The sequence below is a fragment of the Homo sapiens genome, chromosome X, assembly GCF_000001405.40.
Source record: "Homo sapiens chromosome X, GRCh38.p14 Primary Assembly".
Classification (NCBI taxonomy): Eukaryota; Metazoa; Chordata; class Mammalia; order Primates; family Hominidae; genus Homo; species Homo sapiens.
In genome coordinates this window covers 64344841-64367148 of record NC_000023.11, presented here as the reverse complement: position 1 = coordinate 64367148, position 22308 = coordinate 64344841, and the positions used below count along the sequence as shown (strand labels likewise).

The 22308-nt window shown below is 37.6% G+C and overlaps 1 protein-coding gene across 1 annotated transcript in view; it reads left to right on the top strand.

Annotated features, from left to right (window-relative positions):
- Nucleotides 1-22308, top strand: part of MTMR8 (myotubularin related protein 8) — a 127372-nt gene that overhangs the window by 28304 nt on the left and 76760 nt on the right. Inside the window, exons 2-7 of the mRNA NM_017677.4 lie at nucleotides 7622-7744; nucleotides 10811-10973; nucleotides 12215-12372; nucleotides 17079-17207; nucleotides 18355-18489; nucleotides 21972-22104. Of these exons, the coding sequence (NP_060147.2) occupies nucleotides 7622-7744; nucleotides 10811-10973; nucleotides 12215-12372; nucleotides 17079-17207; nucleotides 18355-18489; nucleotides 21972-22104 (841 nt within the window). The remainder of the gene's footprint in view (nucleotides 1-7621; nucleotides 7745-10810; nucleotides 10974-12214; nucleotides 12373-17078; nucleotides 17208-18354; nucleotides 18490-21971; nucleotides 22105-22308) is intronic.

Genomic DNA, 22308 nt, shown 5'->3' with positions numbered 1-22308 from the left:
TGGTCCTGGACTTTTTTTTGGTTGATAGGCTATTAATTATTGCCTCAATTTCAGAGCTTGTTATTGGTCTATTCAGAGATTCAACTTCTTCCTAGTTTAGTCTTGGGAGGGTGTATGTGCCCAGGAATTTTTCCATTTCTTCTAGATTTTCTAGTTTATTTGTGTAGAGGTGTTTATAGTATTCTCTGATGGTAGTTAGTTTCTATTTCTGTGGGATCGATGGTGATATCACCTTTATCATTTTTTATTGCATCTATTTGATTCTTCTCTCTTCTTCTTTATTAGTCTTGCTAGTGGTCTATCAATTTTGTTGATCTTTTCAAAAACCCAGCTCCTGGATTCATTGATTTTTTTGAAGTTTTTTTTGTCTCTATCTCCTTCGGTTCTGCTCTGATCTTAATTATTTCTTGCCTTCTGCTAGCTTTTGAATGTGTTTGCTCTTGCTTCTCTAGTTCTTTTAATTGTGATGTTAGGGTGTCAAATTTAGATCCGTCCTGCTTTCTCTTGTGGGCATTTAGTGCTGTACATTTCCCTCTACACACTGCTTTAAATGTGTCCCAGAGATTCTGTTACATTGTGTGTTTGTTCTCATTGGTTTCAAAGAACATCTTTATTTCTGCCTTCATTTTGTTATATACCCAGTAGTCATTCAGGAGCAGGTTGTTCAGCTTCCATGTAGTTGAGTGGTTTTGAGTGAGTTTCTTAACCCTGAGTTCTAATTTGATTGCACTGTGGTCTGAGAGACAGTTTGTTGTGATTTCTGTTCTTTTATATTTTCTGAGGAGTGCTTTACTTCCAACTATGTGGTCAATTTTGGAATAAGTGCGATGTAGTGCTGAGAAGAATGTATATTCTGTTGATTTGGGGTGGATAGTGCTGTAGATGTCTGTTAGGTCTGCTTGGTGCCAACCTGAGTTCAAGTCCTGGATATCCTTTTTAACCTTCTGTCTCGTTGATCTGTCTGATAGTGACAGTAGGGTGTTAAAGTCTCCCATCATTATTGTGTGCGAGTCTAAGTGTCTTTGTTGTTCTCTAAGTACTTGCTTTATGAATCTGGGTGTTCCCGTATTGGGTGCATATATATTTAAGATAGTTCTTCTTGTTGAATTTATCCCTTTACCATTATGTAATGGCCTTCTTTGTCTCTTTTGATCTTTGTTGGTTTAAAGTCTGTTTTATCAGAGACTAGGATTGTAACCCCTGCTTTTTTTTGCTTTCCATTTTCTTGGTAGATCTTCCTCCATCCCTTTATTTTGAGCCTATGTGTGTCTCTGCATGTGAGATGGCTCTCCTGAATACAGCACACTGATGGGTCTTGGACTCTATCCAATTTGCCAGTCTGTGTCTTTTAATTGGGGTGTTTAGCCCATTTACATTTAAGGTTAATATTGTTATGTGTGAATTTGATCCTGTCATTATGATGTTAGCTGGTCATTTTGCTTGGTAGTTGATGCAGTTTCTTCCTAGCCTCGATGATCTTTACAATTTAGCCTGTTTTTGCAGTGGCTGGTAATGGTTGTTCCTTTCCATGTTTAGTGCTTCCTTCAGGAGCCCTTGTAAGGCAAGCCTGGTGGTGACAAAATCTCTCAACATTTGCTTGTCTGTAAAGGATTTTATTTCTCCTTCACTTATGAAGCTTAGTTTGGCTGGACATGAAATTCTGGGTTGAAAATTCTTTTCTTTAAGAATGTTGAATATTGCCCCCTACTCTCTTCTGGCTTGTAGAATTTCTGCTGAGAGATCCGCTGTTAGTCTGGTGGGCTTCCCTTTGTGTGTAACATGACCTTTCTCTCTGGCTGCCCTTAACATTTTTTCCTTCATGTAGAGCTTGGTGAATCTGACAATTATGTGTCTTGGTGGTGTTCTTCTCGAGGAGTATCTTTGTTGTGTTCTCTGTGTTTCCTGAATTTGAATGTTGGCCTCCCTTGCTAGGTTGGGGACTTTCCCTTGGATAGTATCCTGAAAAGTGTTTTCCAACTTGGTTCCATTCTCCCCGTCACTTTCAGGCACACCAATCAAATGTAGATTTGGTCTTTTCACATAATCCCATATTTCTTGGAGGCTTTTTCTTTCTTTTTACTCTTTTGTCTCTAAACTTCTCTTCTCACTTTATTTCATCAATTTGGTTTTCAGTCACTGATACCCTTTCTTCCACTTGATCGAATCGGCTATTGAAGCTTGTGCATGCATCATGAAGTTCTCGTGCCATGGTTTTCAGCTCCATCGGGTCATTTAAGGTCTTCTCTACACTGTTTATTCTAGTTAGCCATTCGTCTAATCTTTTTTCAAGGTTTTTAGCTTTCTTGCGATGGGTTCGAACATCCTTCTTTAGCTCGTAGAAGTTTATTACTGACCTTCTGATGCCTACTTCTGTCAGCTTGTGAAAGCCATTCTTCATCTAGCTTTGTTCCGTTGCTGGTGAGGAGCTGCAGTCCTTTGGAGGAGAAGAGGCGCTCTGGTTTTTAGAATTTTTAGCTTTTCTGCTCTGGTTTCTCCCCATCTTTGTGGTTTTATCTACCTTTGGTCTTTGATGCTGGTTACGTACAGATGGGATTTTGGTGTGGACGTCCTTTTTGTTGATGATGATGCTATTCCTTTCTGTTTGTTACTTTTCCTTCTAATAGTCAGGTCCCTCAGCTGCAGGTCTGTTGGAGTTTGCTGGCGGTCCACTCCAGACCCTGTTTGCCTGGGTATCACCAGTGGAGGCTGCAGAACAGCAAATATTGCAGAGCAGCAAATATTGCTGCCTGATCCTTCTTCTGTAAGCTTCATTCCAGAGGGGCACCCGCCTGTATGAGGTATCATTCGGCCCCTACTGGGAGGTGTCTCCCAGTTAGGCTACACAGTGGTCAGGAACCCACTTGAAGATGCATTCCGTCCTTTCTCAGAGCTCAAACACCATGCTGGGAGAACCACTGCTCTCTTCAGAGCTGTCAGACAGGGACATTTAAGTCTGCAGCAGTTTCTGCTGCCTTTTGTTCAGCTATGCCCTGCCCCAGAGTTGGGCTCTAGAGAGGCAGCAGGCCTTGCAGAGTTGCAGTGGGCTCTGCCCAGTTCGAGCTTCCTGGCAGCTTTGTTTACCTACTCAAGCCTCAGCAATGGTGGACACCCCTCCCCCTGCCAGGCTGCTGCCTTGCAGGTCAATCTCAGACTGCTGTGCTAGCAGTGAGCAAGGCTCCGTGGGCGTGGGACCCACTGAGCTAGGCACGGGATATAATCTCCTGGTGTGCCATTTGCTTATACTGTTGGAAAAGCACAGTATTTGGGAGGGAGTGTCCCGATTTTCCAGGTACAGTCCGTCACGTCTTCCCTTGGCTAGGAAATGGAAATCTCCCACCCCTTGCACTTCCTGGTTTAGGCGATGCCCCACCCTGCTTCAGCTTGCCCTCCATGGCCTGCACCCACTGTCCAACCAGTCCCAATTAGATGAACCAGGTACCTCAGTTGGAAATGCAGAAATCACTATCTTTTGCGTCGGTCACGCTGGGAGCTGCAGACTGTAGCTGTTCCTATTCGGCCATATTAGAAAAGAAGAGACTGAGTAATTTTTAAAGAAAAGAAGTTTAATTGGCTCACAGTTCTGCAGTCTGAGCAGAAACCATAACACAGGCATCTGCCTCTGGGTAGGCCTCAGACAGCTTACAATCATGGCATAAATTGTAGGTGAGAAGCAGGCATCTCACATGTTTGGAGCAGGACCAAGAGAGTGCAAAGTGCCACACACCTTTAGACAACCAGATCTCACAAGAATTCAGTCATTATCATGAGGACAGCATGAAAGGATGGGGCTAAATCATTCATGAGGAATTCACCCCCATGATCCAGTCACTTCCCACCAGGCCCCACCACCAACATTGGGCATTATATTTCAACATGAGATTTGGGTGGGGACAAGTATCCAAACTGTATTACCTGACTATTCTCAAAGTGATGGACATTTGCTGAGTCATAGGAAATACATTTTTTTTTATTAAGTAGTGCCAGATTGCCCTTCCGAATGGTCCCCACGTATCTGTAACCCCCTGGTTGTAGTGGATGAGGATTCCTATATGCCTTGAACCCTACCAACACTTGGCATCTTCTAGCTGTCTAGTTTTTGCAAATCTTGTAGTCTTAAAGCAATATCTTATTTTAATTTAACTTTATTTTATTCCCAATGTTTTGAGCTTCTCTTCATGGTTATATGCTTCTGGGATTGCCTCTTATGCAACTTGCCTGTTCTTATGCTTCATATATTTTTCTTTTGGGGCCTCTTTTTCTTATTGAGTTGCAAAAGTCCCTTGTATATTCTAGATAATAATTCCTTGTTAGTTTTAGGAGTGGCACATATGTTCTCCTATTCTCTTATTAATTTTTAAAAAGTCTTTCCCTGTTCATAGATCCAAGGTACTCTGCATTTTTTCAGTAACTTTATATTTTATGTAAGAGTTACATATAGATATATCTAGAGTCTAGTTTTGTATATGGTGTTAGGTAAGGATATGGCCTTAGCTTACTGCATGTACTAATACTGTTTCCCCAACACATCTAGCAAATACTCTTTTGTCTGTCAATTTGTAGTGCCATGTTTATGCTCTATTAGACTCCCATTTTTTACATCAATCTGATTTTGAGCTCTGGTCCTTTTCCATTGGTTTATTTTTCTGTTTTTTTTTTTTTTTTTTTTTTTTTTTTTTTCTGCAATAGTACTAGAGGTTTTTTGTTGTTGTTGTTGTTGATTTTTTTCCCCCACAGCTTTGAGTATGTTTTAATACCTAGTAGAGCAAATCTTTCCCCTTTACTTTTTTTTGAGGTTGATTTAGCAATTTGTGGGGTTTTGTTCTTCTATGTAAATTTAGAATAAGTTTATTAGAAAATCCACTTTGAAATATGATTGAAATTGTATTGAATTTATAGATTGAGGGATAATTGCCATCTTTATTATATTAAGTTGGCCTATCCAAGAGCATAGACATTATTTCTTTAGATTATATTCTATATCCTTCATTAGACTTTTAAAGTTTTCTCTGTAAAGGTCTTGTGTATACTTGGTTAATTAAGCTAATTTCTAGATTCTATATAATTTTTGTTGCCATCGTGAATGTTATTTTTTTAATTATGTTTTTTAAGTGATCGTTGCTGATATAGGAAAATGTTATTGACTTTTGTGGTTGATATTATATTTGGTATCCTTGCTGAACTCTTTTATATTAGTTCTGAGAGTTTGGTTGATTCTTTTCTTTCATTTTTTTCTAGTTGAATGATTACCTTCTGTAAGTGGTGCCAAATATAGAACTTCCCTTCTGATCCTTGCATTTCTTAATTCCACGCCCCCTTTCCTCATAGTATTTAGCCAGGATATTTAAAACAATAGCAGTAATAGTTAGAGTCAAGTTTGTCGTGTTCATGATTTTAAATTAATGCAGTTAGTTTCTTCATTATTCATAACATACTTTGTAGGTTTTTTGTATATAATTTTTACCAAGTTAAGATCGTTTACTTTTATTCCTTGTTTACTAAGGATTATCATTATAAATAGAATTAAGCTATATTAAATACTTCTTTTTCTGTATCAATTGAGATAAAGCATATGATTTTTCTTTTTAGTCTTGGTGATGTATTACGTTGACATTTTCTGATGTTGAACTCCCCATGCTTTCTTGTGATAAACTGCACTTGATCAAAATGTATTTTTTAAAATATACTGTTGATTCATTAACATTATTTAGCATTTTTTGTGTCTACATTTCATAAATGAAGTAGCCCTAAACTTTCTTACTTTATAATTGTCTTTATTTGATTTTAGAATCAAGATTAAATTGCCCTCATAAAATGGACTGAGTAACTTTATTCTTTTTCCAGTGACTGGAATCAATTGGATAAGGTAGTAATTAATTATATTTTGGAAGTTTAGTAGAATAAACCTATAACATCATCTGGGCCTGAGGGTTTTGTTAGGGAAAATCTTTGACTACCATTGCCATTTTATTTTTTTCTTGATATTTAAAAACAGTTCTTATAAGTTTTCCAATTTATTAGCATATTGTTGTTCATAATAGTGATAGTTTTAATTTTTTATATTTTCCCTTTTTCATTCTGTATTTTGTTTATTTGCATCTTTTCTCTTTTTTAGCAAAGATCTATCCTATTAACCTTTTGAAATAATTAAATTCTGGTTTGTTAATCTTTTCTGTTCAGGCTATGTGTGTGTATCTGTGGAGGAGGATTCTCTGGTTTTAAATTTCTGTGCTTTATCATCTTATTTCTCTGTTCTTTTGCTTATTTCCATTACATTGACTGTTCAACTAGTATGTTGTTAACCTTTCTCATTTCATGGTAAACTTACTTACTACTATACATTTACTTCTTAGTTCTTGTTTAACTCTGTCCTTCAAATTTTTATTTGTTGTGTTTTTATTATCGTTCACTTTTAAATATTTCTTAGTTTCCTTTCCTTTTTCTTTTTAACCCAAGGTTAATTTAGTAATAAGCTATTGTGTTTTCAAACATACGCTACATTTTGGCTATTATTTTGTTATTAATTTCTAGTGCTATTGCATTGTGGTTGGAGAACCTAAACTGTATGATATTGAACGTTTGGAATTTATTGATGTTTCATTTACAGCTGTAATCATGGTCTCTTTTTGGGAATTTTTTTTTGTTGTCTTGAATGTTCTATTTGTTGGATATAGAGTCCTACTCTGTATATAATAGCTTGAGTTTTTCAGTTGTAATGTGTAAGTGTTCCGTATCTTCATTTGATTTTTTTTTTTTTTTTTGGTCTGCTTGACCTATTAGTTCCTAAGAAGAGTATTAAAATATCCATGTGCACTTGTTCCTTTTCTCTTTGCAGTTCTGCTAGTTGCTTGATATAGTTCGAGACTGTATTATACAATATGTTTATATTTATGATGGCTATATCTTCTTGTCCTGTTGATTTTTGTCACGTAAATTCTATTTAGTCAGATATTGAGACTGCTACCTCAGCTTTATTTTGGTTCATATTTGCCTGGCATATCTTATTATTTTCAGTTTGTGACTCTAAAGTATATCTCTTCTAGTCTGAATATTGTTGAATCTTTTGTTTTAGTCTGTGTCTTTCTTTTAATTGGTAAGTTTAATTCTTGTACATTTATTGCAATTACTTCTATATTGGGATTTAATTCTGGCATTTCTTTTTATGTGTTTTATTTATGGTACTCCTTTTTTTTGTTTTGTTTTTCTCTTTTTCTGTTTTTTTTTTTTTTCTATTCTTGCCCTGTAACGTAAGATCTATCTTCATGTTATTTACCCTTACTGATTTTTTTACACATACAATAACTGCACCTTCTTCCAACAAGATAAGTACCTCAGCAGGCTCTCAGGTTCTATATATTTTCCAGTTATACGTACCTCATCTTGTAAACTTTGTCTAGAATTTTTATCTTTTCTAGAATACGGGTTTTCCTCTCACTTTCATAGTTTTTCCCGCACTGATTTCAGAAAAGGTAATACAGATCATAGTAGTTTGCCACCTTGGCAGGAACTGGAAAGACTCGAGTTTTGTAGCAAATTAACAGCGTTTATCTTGCTTTGAATGGCCCCACTTCAATCATAGGTGGTGAGTTGGTAACTTATTCAGTATTTTTTCCTCCAATAACAGGTAGAAAACGTGAAATTGGTGGATCGTTATGTGAGTAAGAAACCAGCTAATGGGATTCTTTATCTTACTGCAACCCACCTGATCTATGTGGAGGCTTCAGGTGCAGCCCGGAAAGAAACATGGGTATGTTCATGAGAAGAAGTATCAAAGAGTCTTAAAGAGTTGTGCATACATGCTCTCTATATGGTAGTTTCTTGAAATTTCAAGTGTAATTTTTAAATTGCTGTAAAACCTTTTCTTCAGAGGACCTATTCTAATAATCTTTTTATGGTCTGAATTGTATTACTCCTCTTTTTTCAAGTTATTGGCTCTGGTCATCATAGTCATTTTATTCTACATGGGAATATTCCTGGGGTTTAGCTAAATTATTTTTAGGTAGAATAGTTTCTGCTAATTTTCTGAACTATGTTTGTAAGCATCTTGAAGTAATTTAAAGCCTTGCTGCCCATAAAATATAGTTCAAGAACCAGCAGCATCTGTAGCGTATGGGAACTTGATAAAAATGCAAAATCTCAAGCCTAAGATTTTGAATTTCTAAAAAGGGCTCAGGTTATGCTGATGCTAAGGCCTCATGGACTTTACCTTGGGCAACACTAATTTAGACCATCTCTCTGTCCTAAGACAGGATTTTACCTGGGTATATATATATGTGTGTGTGTGTGTGTGTGTGTGTGTGTGTGTGTGCATGCACGGGCATGTGTATGTGTTTCTTTTTATACCTGTAAGTAATGTTTTCTAATTAATTCAGCACCCCAACATTACTTTATGCCTTACCCATCCTAAAGATCATAATTTAATCTTAACTTAATCATTAGTTAGATTTATGCTTAGACCTCTCCATTTATAAGAAGTACAACATGCTTCTTTTATACCGCATAGCTTAGTGATTAAAGCTTTAGAGCCAGTCTGCTCAGGTTGAAATCCCAGCTTCAACATTTACTACTTTTGTAACCTTGGGCAAGTTGTTTAACTTTTCTGTGTCTCGCTTCCTTCTTCTGTAAAATACAGATAAAATAATACCTTGAATTAGTTTTAAAAAGTCAAGATACAAGAATTATAAAGTGAATGTTTATAAGTGCTTACAACAATGCCTGGAACATGGTAAATACTATCATATAAGTATAAAATGAATTGAGTATGCACATGAAAGAAGTATCTTAATACTTCCTTTTAAAACTGAACTTTCCCCATGTGAGATTGTATTTTGCTCCTTTTGCTGTGATAAGAATGTCAAAAGAGGAATGAGAACTGGGCTAGACTAAGCTCTGATGCTAACTGGCTATGTAACCTTAGGCAAGTGATTCTTACTCCTTGGGCTTGTTTCTTCATCTGTAAAATGAGGTGGTTAGATTATATAATTAGTAAGGATTCTTGTAATTCTAACAGTTTAGGAACCAGTTCTTTAGTACTGTGCCGTAAGCCTATCTCCTATCTACCTGCATTTATAGACAGTACAGATGTCTCCAGATTTGTTCCTTTTGGGTATTATTTCAAACCCAGTGGACTGTATCTGGAAGGGAGCACTTACACTTATTTCTGCATGTCAAAGGAGGCTTATTTACCCAATTAGGGAAGTTCTTCCCAGCCTTAGTCTGCCTACCTTCCCTGGACCCTTCCCAGTTTCACCACAATTGTTTGCCTGGGCCCTGATCTCAATTATCAGTATCGTACTACCAAAACACACATCTCTCATGTTGACTGGAAGATCTTTGATTTTCTTGAGGTTGAATATATTAATTCATATTACATTTTGTGATGCCTCCAGAACTGCCATTGCAGGACTTGAGTGTGACAAAACAGTTAAGATAGAACTTAATTATACCTGTGATCCCAGCAGTTTGGGAGGCTAAGGAAGAAGGATCGCTTGAAGCCAGGAGTTTGAGACCAGCTTGGGCAACAAAGCAATACCTAGTCTCTACAAAAGTTAAAAAAATTAGCCAGGCATGGTAGCACACAACTGTATTCCTAGCTTACTCAGGAGGCTGAGGCAAGATGATCTCCTTTGAACCCAGGAGGTTGAGGCTGCAGTGAGTCATGATTAAGCCACTGCACTCTAGCCTAGGCAACAGAGCGAGACCCTGCCTTAAAAAAAATAGAAAATTTATCCTAGGAATATCTGAATCATTTCCACACTTGCTCCATTCTTAGATGGTGGATATGATTGAAAGACTTCATTGAAGAGATGACTTTTCCAAAGAAATTAGGGACTGGGGCATTGAGGTGATGGGAGAGCAGAAAAGGCACTATTGATTGGAAGACCATTCCAGGCACAGGACAGGGAGTCTAGAGAATGGAAAGAGCACATCCAGGCTCCATAGTTGCAGAAACATAAGACAGGGATAGGAGGAGAACATCAAAGATCAAAATGCAAAACCATGATTATATGGCTTTTTGAATCAATTAAGAGAGAATTATATTATTTGGACACATTTTGTTTCATCAGTTCCCTTTCCATGCATTTCTTTTTTTGCTGGCATCAGCATGAACAGAAGTAATCATCCTACATTCTTTGCTTTACTGTCACTAGAGTTTAAAATGTAGAGGAATAGTTCCTCCCTAACATTTCTAGTTAAATCCTTATTCCAGAACTTAATCCTGGACTTAAGTTTAGACTGCTATGGTTCAAATTCTGTTTGTGCCACTTCTTGGCTATATGATATCTGATGAGGAATTCACTTCTCAGAGCTTTGTTTTTTTTTCATTCCTGAAATAGGATGATTACACGTCAAATGGCTCTTCTTAAATAGCTAATGGTCATGGACTACTTTGTTTATGATAAGGCACAATACCTGCTATTAATAATTATCTTAATTAGTAATTTGATATAAGAAAAAAAATTCCTGTTTTCCTCTGTAACAATTATTCTGATTGTGAACTCTATCACAGCATGCTAAAAGTCATCTATTCTGAGCTGATCTACCAAAATTGTCCCACAAACTTGGTAATCTCGTATCCTTAAGGAGAGAGAAGTTTTCTAACACTGCAGTCTGCTTCTTGTTGCTTTACCACTATTATGCTTTAGTTCTATTTGAGAGAACCCCAGTTGTGTCTTACAAAGAATGGTTGTAGGCTGTAGATGTAGCCTACAGATCTGGTCATGCTGTTACCATTACGGAGAGTCAGGAATACTGATAGTGATAGAGATATTGCACATCTGTATGTTTACGCTGGTTCTTTTATGTTTTTCAGATTGCACTCCATCACATTGCCACTGTGGAGAAGTTACCCATCACTAGCCTGGGTTGTCCCCTGACCCTCCGCTGCAAGAATTTCCGGGTGGCCCACTTTGTTTTAGATTCTGACCTTGTGTGCCATGAGGTTTATATTTCACTGCTCAAGCTTTCTCAGCCAGGTAGTTATGATAGTATTTTTATCTAAAACCATTTTAATATTTTTCCAAAATGGCATAATGGAAAGATCAGGGCTATGGAGTCAGAGGAGGGTTTGGATCTGGGCTGTACCACTTATTAGCTCCATTATATTTGGGCAAGTTATATAACCTCTGAACTCATTTTCTTTACCTGTAAAAGTAAGGAGAGTAAAAGCTCTTCAAGGGGATTGTTTTGAGCCTTGAATACCTTCATGTATTAGTATATAGTAGATGTTTAATAGATATTTTCTTCTCTCTCCTTCCCTCCTTTAAAGTATCAACTTGTGAATGTTTTCTCAGTTCAGGAAGGAAGACTGCTTTGGAAGAAAATTTGTTTCCTGCTGTCCTGCAGACTTTTTGTTTGGCCCACGATTTCCACCCCTACTTTTAATTCCAACTAGAAGACTAAGGCAGTTCATCAAAGTCCTCATTAATGTAGGACTTAATGCTTCCTCCAGCATCACCCTTTCATTCCCCAGCCCCCACCCCTAGGCAATTAACCAGCTTCCTCTGATTTTAGTCTTTGATTTTAATCATGCTCTTACATTTTCTCTCCCATTTTTCCCCTTTTCCCTCAGAGTAATTCCTCAATATTTGCTGATTTTTATTGATAAAGTTACCTGCTGGATGGCCTAGCATTTTACAAGTCTCTGATAGGCTCCATTAATCTCTGGAGAAGTTGTTGCCATATAAATTGGTCAAATGAGTTATTTGATTGGATGCTGTATCTCGTGAAGGGAGGAAGCAGGACTGACAGAGAAAAGAGAGGAAGGGGCCATTTATAAGTCAGAAGTTGCTGTTGGTCTGACAAGTACAATGCAAAAACATTGTTAAAGATGTGCAACATGTTACAATAAGCAGTACTATTAGGACATGGGAGCCCAGTTAAAAACTTTTGGTAAGGACTCTTTTCTTAACATGTGAAACCCTGAAGCCTCAGTTCAGTCAATTATCCAGCATTCTTTTTTTATAGGAAGCCAGGCAGAAAGATCCCACTTCGTATTGATAACACAAAAAATTAAAACATTTTTTCAAAGAACCCAAACAATATTCCAGTTTTTATTCCTTACATAAAGGCAAACTTGCACACACCACAGTCCTTTTCTGGGGCTGTTTGACAAACATTCCCTTAGGAAAAGGAAATCTAGCCTTTATTTGCATTGTTTGATGATTTTTAGGTTTCATTCATCATTTTGTTTTCCATGCCTATCTCTCTTCTCCAGCATTACCTGAAGATCTTTATGCTTTTTCTTATAATCCCAAATCCTCAAAAGAGATGAGGGAAAGTGGATGGAAACTGATTGACCCAATATCAGACTTTGGGCGTATGGGAATACCCAACAGAAACTGGACCATAACAGATGCCAACAGAAACTATGAGGTAATTTTGTCCTTGTTGTTTGCCTTTTGGTGCATTTAATTAAGATGGTAGAATATCAGGAAACAAGATTTTGAAAAAAGAGAGAAATGACTCATAATCTCTCTCTCCTTTCCATTCAACATTCAGCCATTCAACAGACATTTATTGAGTACCTACAGTGCAATAGGCACTGAGTAAGAGATCTCATGGCCTAAAGCATAGGGTGTTATGGGAGCATAGGTGCAGGGCATGAAAATCAGCCTAAGGAAGCCAGAAACAACCTGATGCTTTGCAGAGTAGCCTTGTGAAGGCTAATTTATTTTAACATTTTTTATTTTTAATTATTATGGATATATAATAGTTGTACATATTTATAGGGTACATGTGATATTTTTATACAGGCATACAATATGTAATGATCAGATCAGGGTAATTGGGGTATCCATCACCACAAGTATTTATCATTTATTTGTGTTAGGAACATTCCAATTCCATTTTCAGTTATTTTATTATTGTTATCTGTAGTCGTCCTGTTTTGCTACTGAATACTAGATCTTATTCCTTCTATCTAACTGTATTTTTGTACCCGTTGAGGATCCTCTTTTTATCCCCCCCACTCCACTACCCTTACCAACCTTTGGTAACCATCATTCTACTCTCTGTCTCCATGAGTTCATTTTTTTTTTTTTTTTGCTCCTACAACATGTGAATGAGATTATGCAATATTTGTCTTTCTATGCTTTGTTCATTTCACTTAATATAATGTCCCCCAGTTCCATCCATGTTGTTGCAAATGACAGGATTACATTTTTTTGTGACTGAGTTATATTCTATTGTGCATATGTACCACAGTTTTCTTTTCTTTCTTTTTGAGACAAGGCCTCACTCTGTTGCCCAAGGTAGAGTGTAGTGGCATGACCATAGCTCAGTGTAGCCTCAATCTCTTGGGCTCAAGTGGTCCTCCCATCTCAGCCTCCCATGTAGCTGGGACCATAAGCACCCACACCCATGCCTGGCGAATTTGTTTCATTTTTTGTAGAGATGGGATTCTTGAACTCCTGGGCTCAAGCGATCCTCCCTCCTTGGCCTCTCAAAGTGCTGGGATTATAGGTGTGAACCACCACCCCTGGCCAATAGTGGCTGTACTAATTTACATTCCTACCAATTGTGTATGAAGATTTCATTTTCTCCATATCCTCACCAGTATCCATTATTGCCTTTTTGATAAAAGCCATTTTAACAGGTGAAATGATATCTCATTGTGGTTTTGGTTTGCATCTTTCTGATGATTATTGATGTTGAGCATTTTTTCATATACTTGTTGGTCATTTGTGTGTCCTCTTTTGAGAAATGTCTATTCAGATACTTTCTCCATATTTAATTGGATTATTTGTTTTCATTCTATTGAGTTTCTTGGGCTCCTTATATTTTCTGGTTATTAATCCCTTGTCAGATGGGTAATCTGCAAATATTTTCTCCTATTCTGTGGGTTGTCTTTTCACTTTGTTGGTTGTTTCCTTTGCCATGGAGATTTTTGGCTCAGTGTTAACCCATTTGCCTATTTTTGCTTTAGTTGGCTGCATATGCTTTTGAGGTCTTACTCGAGAAGTCTTTGCCCAGACCAATATCCTAAAGTGTTTCTTTGCATATGGACATCCAGTTTTCCCAGAACCATTTATTGAAGAGACTTATTTCCCCCAAATATGTGTCCTTGGTGCCTTTGTTGAAAATGACTGAACTGTAAATGTCTGGATTATTTCTCCTAATTTATGCAGGGGGAGAAGGAAGGAGGTCAGGAAGTGAAGCCATATCATAAAGCGCTTCGTGACCAAATTAAGGAATTTGAACTTTATCATGAAGACAGTTGTGAGCCACAAGAGTATTTACGCTTGAAAGGAACATATATATATATATTTGTGTTTTAGAAGGATAACTGTTATTAGTGTGGAGAATTCGTTTGCTGGAGCTAAGAATGCAGAAGAATGATATGTGAAGTTATGAGAACCTGAACTAAGGCAATGGCTGTAGATGGAAAGGAGATGGTTTTAAAAGATATTTAGGTGGTAGAATTGAAAGCAACTGGTGACAGATCAAATGTGGCTAGAAAAGTGAAGGAATTTAATATGCATCCCAGCTTTCCTGGTTTTGGCTTTGATGACCAATGAGTAGTGGTGATGTTAACAAAGATAAGGACCACAAGAAGAGGGGCAGATGGTGTCTTCAATTTTACACTTGACTTCAAGGTGATTAAACAGATATCAAGTATTTGATTTCAAGCATTTGGGTTTGGATCTCAAGAAAGAGCTCTGGGCCAAATATGGACATCTGGGAATGTGTTGAAGGTCCCAAAGACCGTTCCTCAGGTTTTGTGATTTACTAGGAAAATTCATAGGACTCGGTGTATAGTCATACTTATGACTGTGATTTATTACCGTGAAAGGATCCAAAGCAAAAATCAGCAAAGGGAAAAGGTTCAGGGGACAAAGTCAACAAAACCAGGAACAAGCTTCCAGAGTCCTCTCTCAGCAGAGTGACGTAGGACACACTGAATTCCTCCAGCAGAAATTGTGACAACACTTATGAAATGTTGTCTGCCAGGATGCTCATTAGAGGCAAAGTGCTCAGGGATTCTATTGGAGCCTGCCCACATAGGCACGTTCTGCTTAGTGTATGCCAGAATTCCAGAAGTCCAGAAGGAAGGCAGGTGTTCAGGATAAGCCACATTGTTTGTACAAACAGTTTTAAGCACAATGCAAGTAGGCCTTTCTAAGGGTAGTCTGATGGTTAATATTGTCAATTTGATTGGATTGAAGTATGCAAAGTATTGTTTCTGGGTGTGTCTGTGAGGCTGTTACTAGAGGGGAGATTAACCTTTGAGTCAGTGGACTGGGAGAGGCAGACCCACCCTTAATCTGGGTGGGCACCATTCCCTCAGCTGCCAGTGCAGCTAGAAAAAGCAGGCAGAAGAAGGTGGAATGAGCAGACTTGCTGAATCTTCCAGTCTTCATCTTTCTCCCATGCTAAATGCTTCCTGCCCTCGAACATCAGACTTCAAGTACTTCAGCTTTTGGATTCTTGGACTTACACTAGTGGTTTGCCAGGGGCTCTCGGGCCTTCAGCCACAAACTGAAGGCTGCTCTGTTGGCTTCCCTACTTTAGAGGTTTTGGGACTCGGAATGATCCACTACTGGCTTTCTTGCTCCTCAACTTGCAGACGGCCTACTGTGGGACTTTACCTTTTGATTGTATGAGTCAATTCTCCTTAATAAACTCCCTTTCCTATATACATATATCCTATTAGTTCTGTCCCTCTAGAGAACTCTAACACAGGTAGCAATCAGGCCTGCTAGGATAATTTTTCTGCAGAGAGAGTCATTGGTGTTTAAGTGATATTCCTGAATCGTTCATCTTTAACAGTGTTTTTACTATCATAATAAGACTGTTATTGCATTGACTTTCTGGTAACATAGCTTTGAATGTCTACTAGGTATGGGGATTGATGAGCTGTGACTTCGCAGGGTCATCTGTGAGGTGGCTTGTTAGGGTCATGCTTGAGAGGAATAAGTAGAGATTGGGGGTGAAATCTGTCCACCTCAAATGTGTGTCTGAGTCTCCCAAAGAAGGTCTGAAATACTCTTGTTGGTCTTTTTGATGTGTATAACCTTCTAAGCTGAATGGGGAGCTCCATTTATTTTTCTTTGTATGACTGTCTTCTCCAAAGTTTAAGTCCAGGTAAGGGGGTGGGTAGAAAACATTTTCAAATGGTCTGCATTCTGGGGACATTGACTTTAATGAGTTACATAGAGCATTCTTAATCTTATCTACCTTTAACTTTTTTTATTTTTGCCTGTTCAGTTTATATTTGTTTCATCTGTTGTTAAATGTTTGGGGGTGTTCTTTAGTTAGGGGAGTGATTAGAATTAATTTTGCAATGTCAGGTCTGTGGTGTTATAATATTTTGTCACTGTCTCTTTGGAAATATGTATTTTGGTAACCACTAAAAGCTGATAAACTTGAGAAAATATGTCAGTCTTTTCATAGAGTAAGTCACACCTAAAATGTCAACACCTCCAACCCCCAGACTAGTGGTTTAAAGGCCGTCCAGATATGAACACTAGGAACCTAGTATGCAGTTTATATATATACATTTTTCACTTGCTAGCAACAGGCTGGAATTAGCAATCACTCAAGCATTAGCTAGCTGGTATTTAATCATCTATTCCTCAGAAATAGAAATGAAAATATCCTTGGTATAAAAGCTTTTCCAAGTGTGCTATTATTTTCTAGAAAGGAAGGGATTGAGACATATAAGAACAAAATGTACTTTTAGAATTAGAAAAACAAAAATCATAGACAGAAACACACATAAAACCCCATGTTGAAATTCCTACGTGTGCATATCAGAGCAAAAACAATAACTGTAAACAAGTGAATTAATATGAACGGACACAAATATGAAGCAGACAGGTAGAGGAGGAGGAAATATGATGTACTCTTTCATAAACTACATACTAGGTTCCTAGTATTCATATCTGGACGGCCTTTAAAACACTAGTCTTGGGGTGGAGGTGTTGACATTTTAGGTGTGACTTACTCTATGAAAAGACTGACATATTTTCTCAAGTTTATCAGCTTTTAGTGGTTACCAAAATACGTATTTCCAAAGAGACAGTTATATATAAATGTATAAATATATATTTATATATATTGTGCTTATTTTCTTTTAGATATGCAGCACCTACCCTCCTGAAATAGTGGTTCCTAAATCTGTTACCTTGGGAACGGTGGTTGGAAGTTCAAAGTTCAGAAGTAAAGAACGTGTCCCTGTGCTCTCCTACCTCTACAAAGAGAACAATGTAAGTTAAGCAGATTTCTCTAATGATAATTAAACATGGCTCTGGAAGACCTGTTTTAAGTTTCATGCTGCCACTTAGTAGCTGTGTGACCTCAGGCAAGTTACTTAACTTCTCTGGACTTTCATACTTCTGAAGGTTTTTGAGAGGATCTCAGTAGGAATAATATGTACAATGTACTTTGTAAATTGTAAAATGTTATGCAGATGTTAAGTGTCATTTTAGTATGTTTATTTCTTTTTCTTTTTTTCCTTTTCTGTGGGATCCAGCTTTGTGGAAAGTTGTGAAATGACAGAAAATTAGTTGTATACAGGATTTTTTGGGGGCTGTGGCCTCCCAGTAGAATACAGATATCCTTGATACTTTCTTAGTGCTTTTCATATAATTTCAGGTAGTAGTAAGAAAGCACTTGACTCCTCTGTGTTTCAATCCCCTTACTTATGTAGGAAGTGATAATATTTATCACCTCTTGTAATCACTCTGAGATCTGGGGTTAGACAAATAGGCAAGTTGTCAGGTGGGCAACCGTTCAAGTGCTAAGGAGTATAGTAATGCAATTGGGTGTCATATTATTGAAGTGAGTTGACCCCTTAAAAGCCACATCAAAGTGTAACGAATTTCATGAACTAATCATTACCAGACATTCATGTTAAATAGTTACGTTGTTTTTGTGTTAAAGTGGCTTGAAACAAACCACCCTTCTGATTTGGCATTAACTTCTGAAACTAGTGAACCCTGTTTTCTTAAGACGCTGTAGATCTTTGCTCTATCTTGAATTCTGCTGCCTCCGCAAGCTTATGGTTTATGTGGGCAATATTACTGGGACTGTAAAAAGTGAGGCGGTTTCAGAAAAATAGCCCATTATATATCGAGAATAGAATTTCACTAAGGAAATACTCATGATGTGATTTTTTTTGTAGTCTGATTTACCAAGACTGGGTTGGAAATTAGAGCCACATGCCCAGGGTAGGCAGGAGGTTAAGCCCAATGTCAGTGGAGAATGACTTTAGAGTCACATTTCTCTTTGCTTTGGACACTATCTTAAGTTGGCTCATCCTCTCCCTCTACTCATGGAACCTGGCAAGGGTCAAGAAAGATTTTTGACCATTTGTGAATATAATCACTCAACTGACACACCTTTTCCTTACAGGCTGCCATTTGCCGCTGTAGCCAGCCTCTCTCTGGATTTTACACTCGCTGTGTAGATGATGAGCTCTTGTTGGAGGCCATTAGCCAAACAAACCCAGGGAGCCAGTTTATGTATGTTGTAGACACAAGACCAAAGGTATCTATTTCTCAGTGATTTCTTTGATATTTCTGCCTCTTGCATTCTACCTCCTCATATATTGAGACATGCAGTGTTATTGGGAAAGTTAGGTTTGTGTATGTGTGTTTATTATGTCAGACATTGTGTAAAATCATTTCAGGAAGCCATTTGGGGCTCCTTTTATAAGGTTGCCACTGTCAAGTGAGGTTATGAGAGGGTATTTCAAGCAACCTGTCTTTCCCACCTCAGTGTGACGTCCTGCATAGAAGGCTCCTTAACATCCCTCATCTTTTTTACCAAGTCTGTTCCTTAACCAGAATTTTCAGTATTCCCATTCTGTGGTCTAGATTTACTGTTAGAGAAAGAGCTTCAACTTAGACATTGGAAACTTACTACAACCAACATGTTTTTTTTTTTTCTATAAATGTGTTAGGCCACAGTAATTTAATAATACTTTGGTTCTCCCAAAGCACCAGGGTTCACAAATTTTACTGCTATGCAATTAACAAAAAATCTTTAGCTCATATGGCAGTAATTCTTTTTTAGCATCTAGTACTGTTAGCTGATTAAATTTTTGCCGGTTTAGTACAGTGCAGTTTAAATCTTCGTCCCAGAGAATTAAAAAGACCAAGTTCATAAATTTGCCGTGGATTTTGGCAGTGGACATGGATAGACCTAGTCAAATCCTTTGATCTTTCCAATAATCTAATGCTGCATGATTTGTTGCAATGTGTTTTCTCAGGCTTTGTCTCTTTCAAATATGAACATTGCTGAACAGAGTGTCCTCATGTTAACCTAAGTATCAGCTTAAACTCCTCTCTGCATTAATTCCTTAACCTTCAAAGTTTTGTGTGGCTCTATATGGGCTGTAGAAGAACTCATTGTGTCCCACAAAAGAAGTAAAGGATAGATTCCATATTCTTAAATGTTGTCCTTTTTACAAACAGCCCCAGAAAGAAATAATTTTGCTTATAATTTGGTATGTAAAGTGTGACTGACTAAGAGGTTTCATTGCTGATTCTAGTCATTACTAAATTGGTGATTTTCATCTAAGCCTAAGCCAGATGGTTGTGACTTAAGAGTTGAGCAGTTGGATGTACATGAAACCAGATAGTTGCCTTAGACAGCTTTCTGCCCCATCTTTGTGATCCCTCAGTGGCTATTCTCCAGAGCTACCTAGGACTGACTGAGCTCAGGAGAGAAAATAATTTCCCTTTCTGTTCAGGCCCATCCTTCAGTTTCTCAGAAGCTTGCTGTCTTGTTTCAGCCATAACTGCATCTGAAATTCTGCAATTGAAAAGAGTTTAATCGAGTCTGTATCTTTAAAAATTAAATAATCTTAAAATAGTAAAGAGAAATACACCAAGCTTTTGAAGAAACAAAAGAGTTGGTGCCTTTTGTTCAAATCTAACACCAAAAAGCCCCCTTTTTTTTAACAGGTTCCATTTTCCTCTCTCCAATTTGAGCAAATTAAGACAGGCCTAGAAATATCTGGCATTCCCTCTCTTCTGGATGGCTAGATCCGTACTTTTAGTAGGAACTATATTATACTGACAAAATTTTGTTCTAGGAGTCAGTCAAACCTGAGGTCAAATCCTGCTTTCAGCCTTTATCCATATCATCTTGGGCAAATTGGTTCATCTCTCTGAGCCTGTTTTCTTATGGGGATAATATAGCACCCATTTTGAGAGGCTGTAATGAGGATTAAGTGAGATAATGTACATAAAGGATTTAGCACAGTGTCAGGCATATAATAGGAGCTCAATAAATATTACATTACAATAAATATTACATCTGACATTCTGCAATTGGAAAGAGTTTAATCGCGTCTGTATCTTTAAAGATTAAATAATCTTAAAATAGTAAAGAGAACTACACCAAGCTTTTGAAGAAACAAAAGGGTTGGTGCATTTTGTTCAAATCCAACACCAAAAAGCCCCTTTTAACAGGTTCCATTTTTGTCTCTCCATTTTCCTCTCAGTTTGCCACCTGAACATTAAATAGGTATCTGTTACTCAGATCTGCCAGACATATTTTTAAAGAGTGAATACTGGTATGAGGTAGCTAGTTATCTGCATTAGGTGGCCTACCCAGGCCTGGGTAGTGACTACTGTAATTATTATTATTATTATTATTTTTGCTGAAGCATCACTCATAACAAACATCCTTGCTACTAGGTGACTATTGCTTATGCTTCCACGGGTGTTCCTTTGACATTTGTCATTAATTTAATGAAAGCTCAGTAACACTATCAATGTGATAAAAGATCAAAATTACCATCACATTTCCCCTTTTAACAGATGTCTTGCATTGTAAACAGAATATGTTTAGCACACTGACTTTTTTCCCTCTGCATGTTCTAACTTGAATAGTTTGTGTCTTGAGGTTTTTGTATTCTTTTAATACAAAAATTATACCCTGTCCACATACATGCTCCTCCTGCCTTCTGAAATGCACAATATTGGGAGATGAGAAAATAGGCCCAGAAAACAGAAAATCACTTAATTAGTAAGATGGTCATTATCGTAGACAGTATCTTGGCTGCCTTCTGGTTATTATATTCATATTTCCACAAGTCTCATTTACTCCCTACCCCACCCAGCATTCTTCATATGACCTAGAGATTTTCTGATTACCACAAACTGAACATAGTGTTAAAACAGTTGGTGATGTCTCCATTTCAATTTTGTCAGTGAGTAAAAGTCATTTATCTCATGCAGTCACATTTTAGACATTTTTCTAGAATAGCTATTTAATTGGGCTGTATGTGGTGGCTTATGCCTGTAATCCCAGCACTTTGGGAAGCCAAGGCAAGAGGATTACATGAGTCCAAGAGTTCAAGGCCAGTGTGGGGAACAGCGAGACTGTCTTTACAAAAAACATTTTTTGTAAAAAAAATTAGCCAGGCATGGTGGTACGTGCCTGTAGTCTTAGCTGTTCAGGAGGCTGAGGCAGAAGGATTGCCTGAGCCCAGGAGTTCAAGGCTGCATTGAACCTTGTGATTGTGCTGCTGCACTCCAGCCTTAATGACAGAGTGAGACACTGTCTCTTAAATAAATAAATAAAATTAATTCATCCTGAAGTTCTTAGGCTTCTTTCTAGAGCTTCTCAGTTGTAAATATTTTTGAACTTTTGCATGTTTCTCAGTATAAAACCCTTTCAGCTGAGAAAACATTTGTGGTAGGCAGCTCAAAATTATTATTTCAGTTTTTTAGATCAGATATCCTCATAGCTGCCATAACTTTTCTCTCTTAAGAAAGGTTTTCATAATGAAACAAAACACTGTATCTCCCTATTTTTCCCCTATATGAGTCTGTTACTAAAAGTACCTGATGTAAAAACTAGTGAAATTCTCTCCATTCCAGAATGTATCTCATCTGATTTAACTTCTTTTTAATTGGGTAGGATTTTAAACGGTTCAGAATGAGGCATTGAGATTGATGAACTCCATTCTTTCATCATCTGGCCTATCTGCTCTATTATGTCCTCTGCTATTGCAGTTGAATGCCATGGCCAACCGAGCAGCTGGGAAGGGGTATGAAAATGAAGACAACTATGCCAACATTCGCTTCAGATTCATGGGCATTGAGAACATCCATGTAATGCGGAGCAGTCTGCAGAAACTCTTGGAAGGTACAGGGATTTCACCTTGGCTAGGCAAGCGGCCATAGCTTTGCGTTATCATGTAAGCAGAAAGCATGCCTGATTTGGGGTGGAATATAAAAGCAAGCAGGTGAGCAGAGTCAATAAGTGGTTAGGTGTTTAACTATTGTACAAATCTAGCTTAAATAGTACTGAATTATAGCAGTGTTGATCTGGAAAAGGGACTAAGATGTG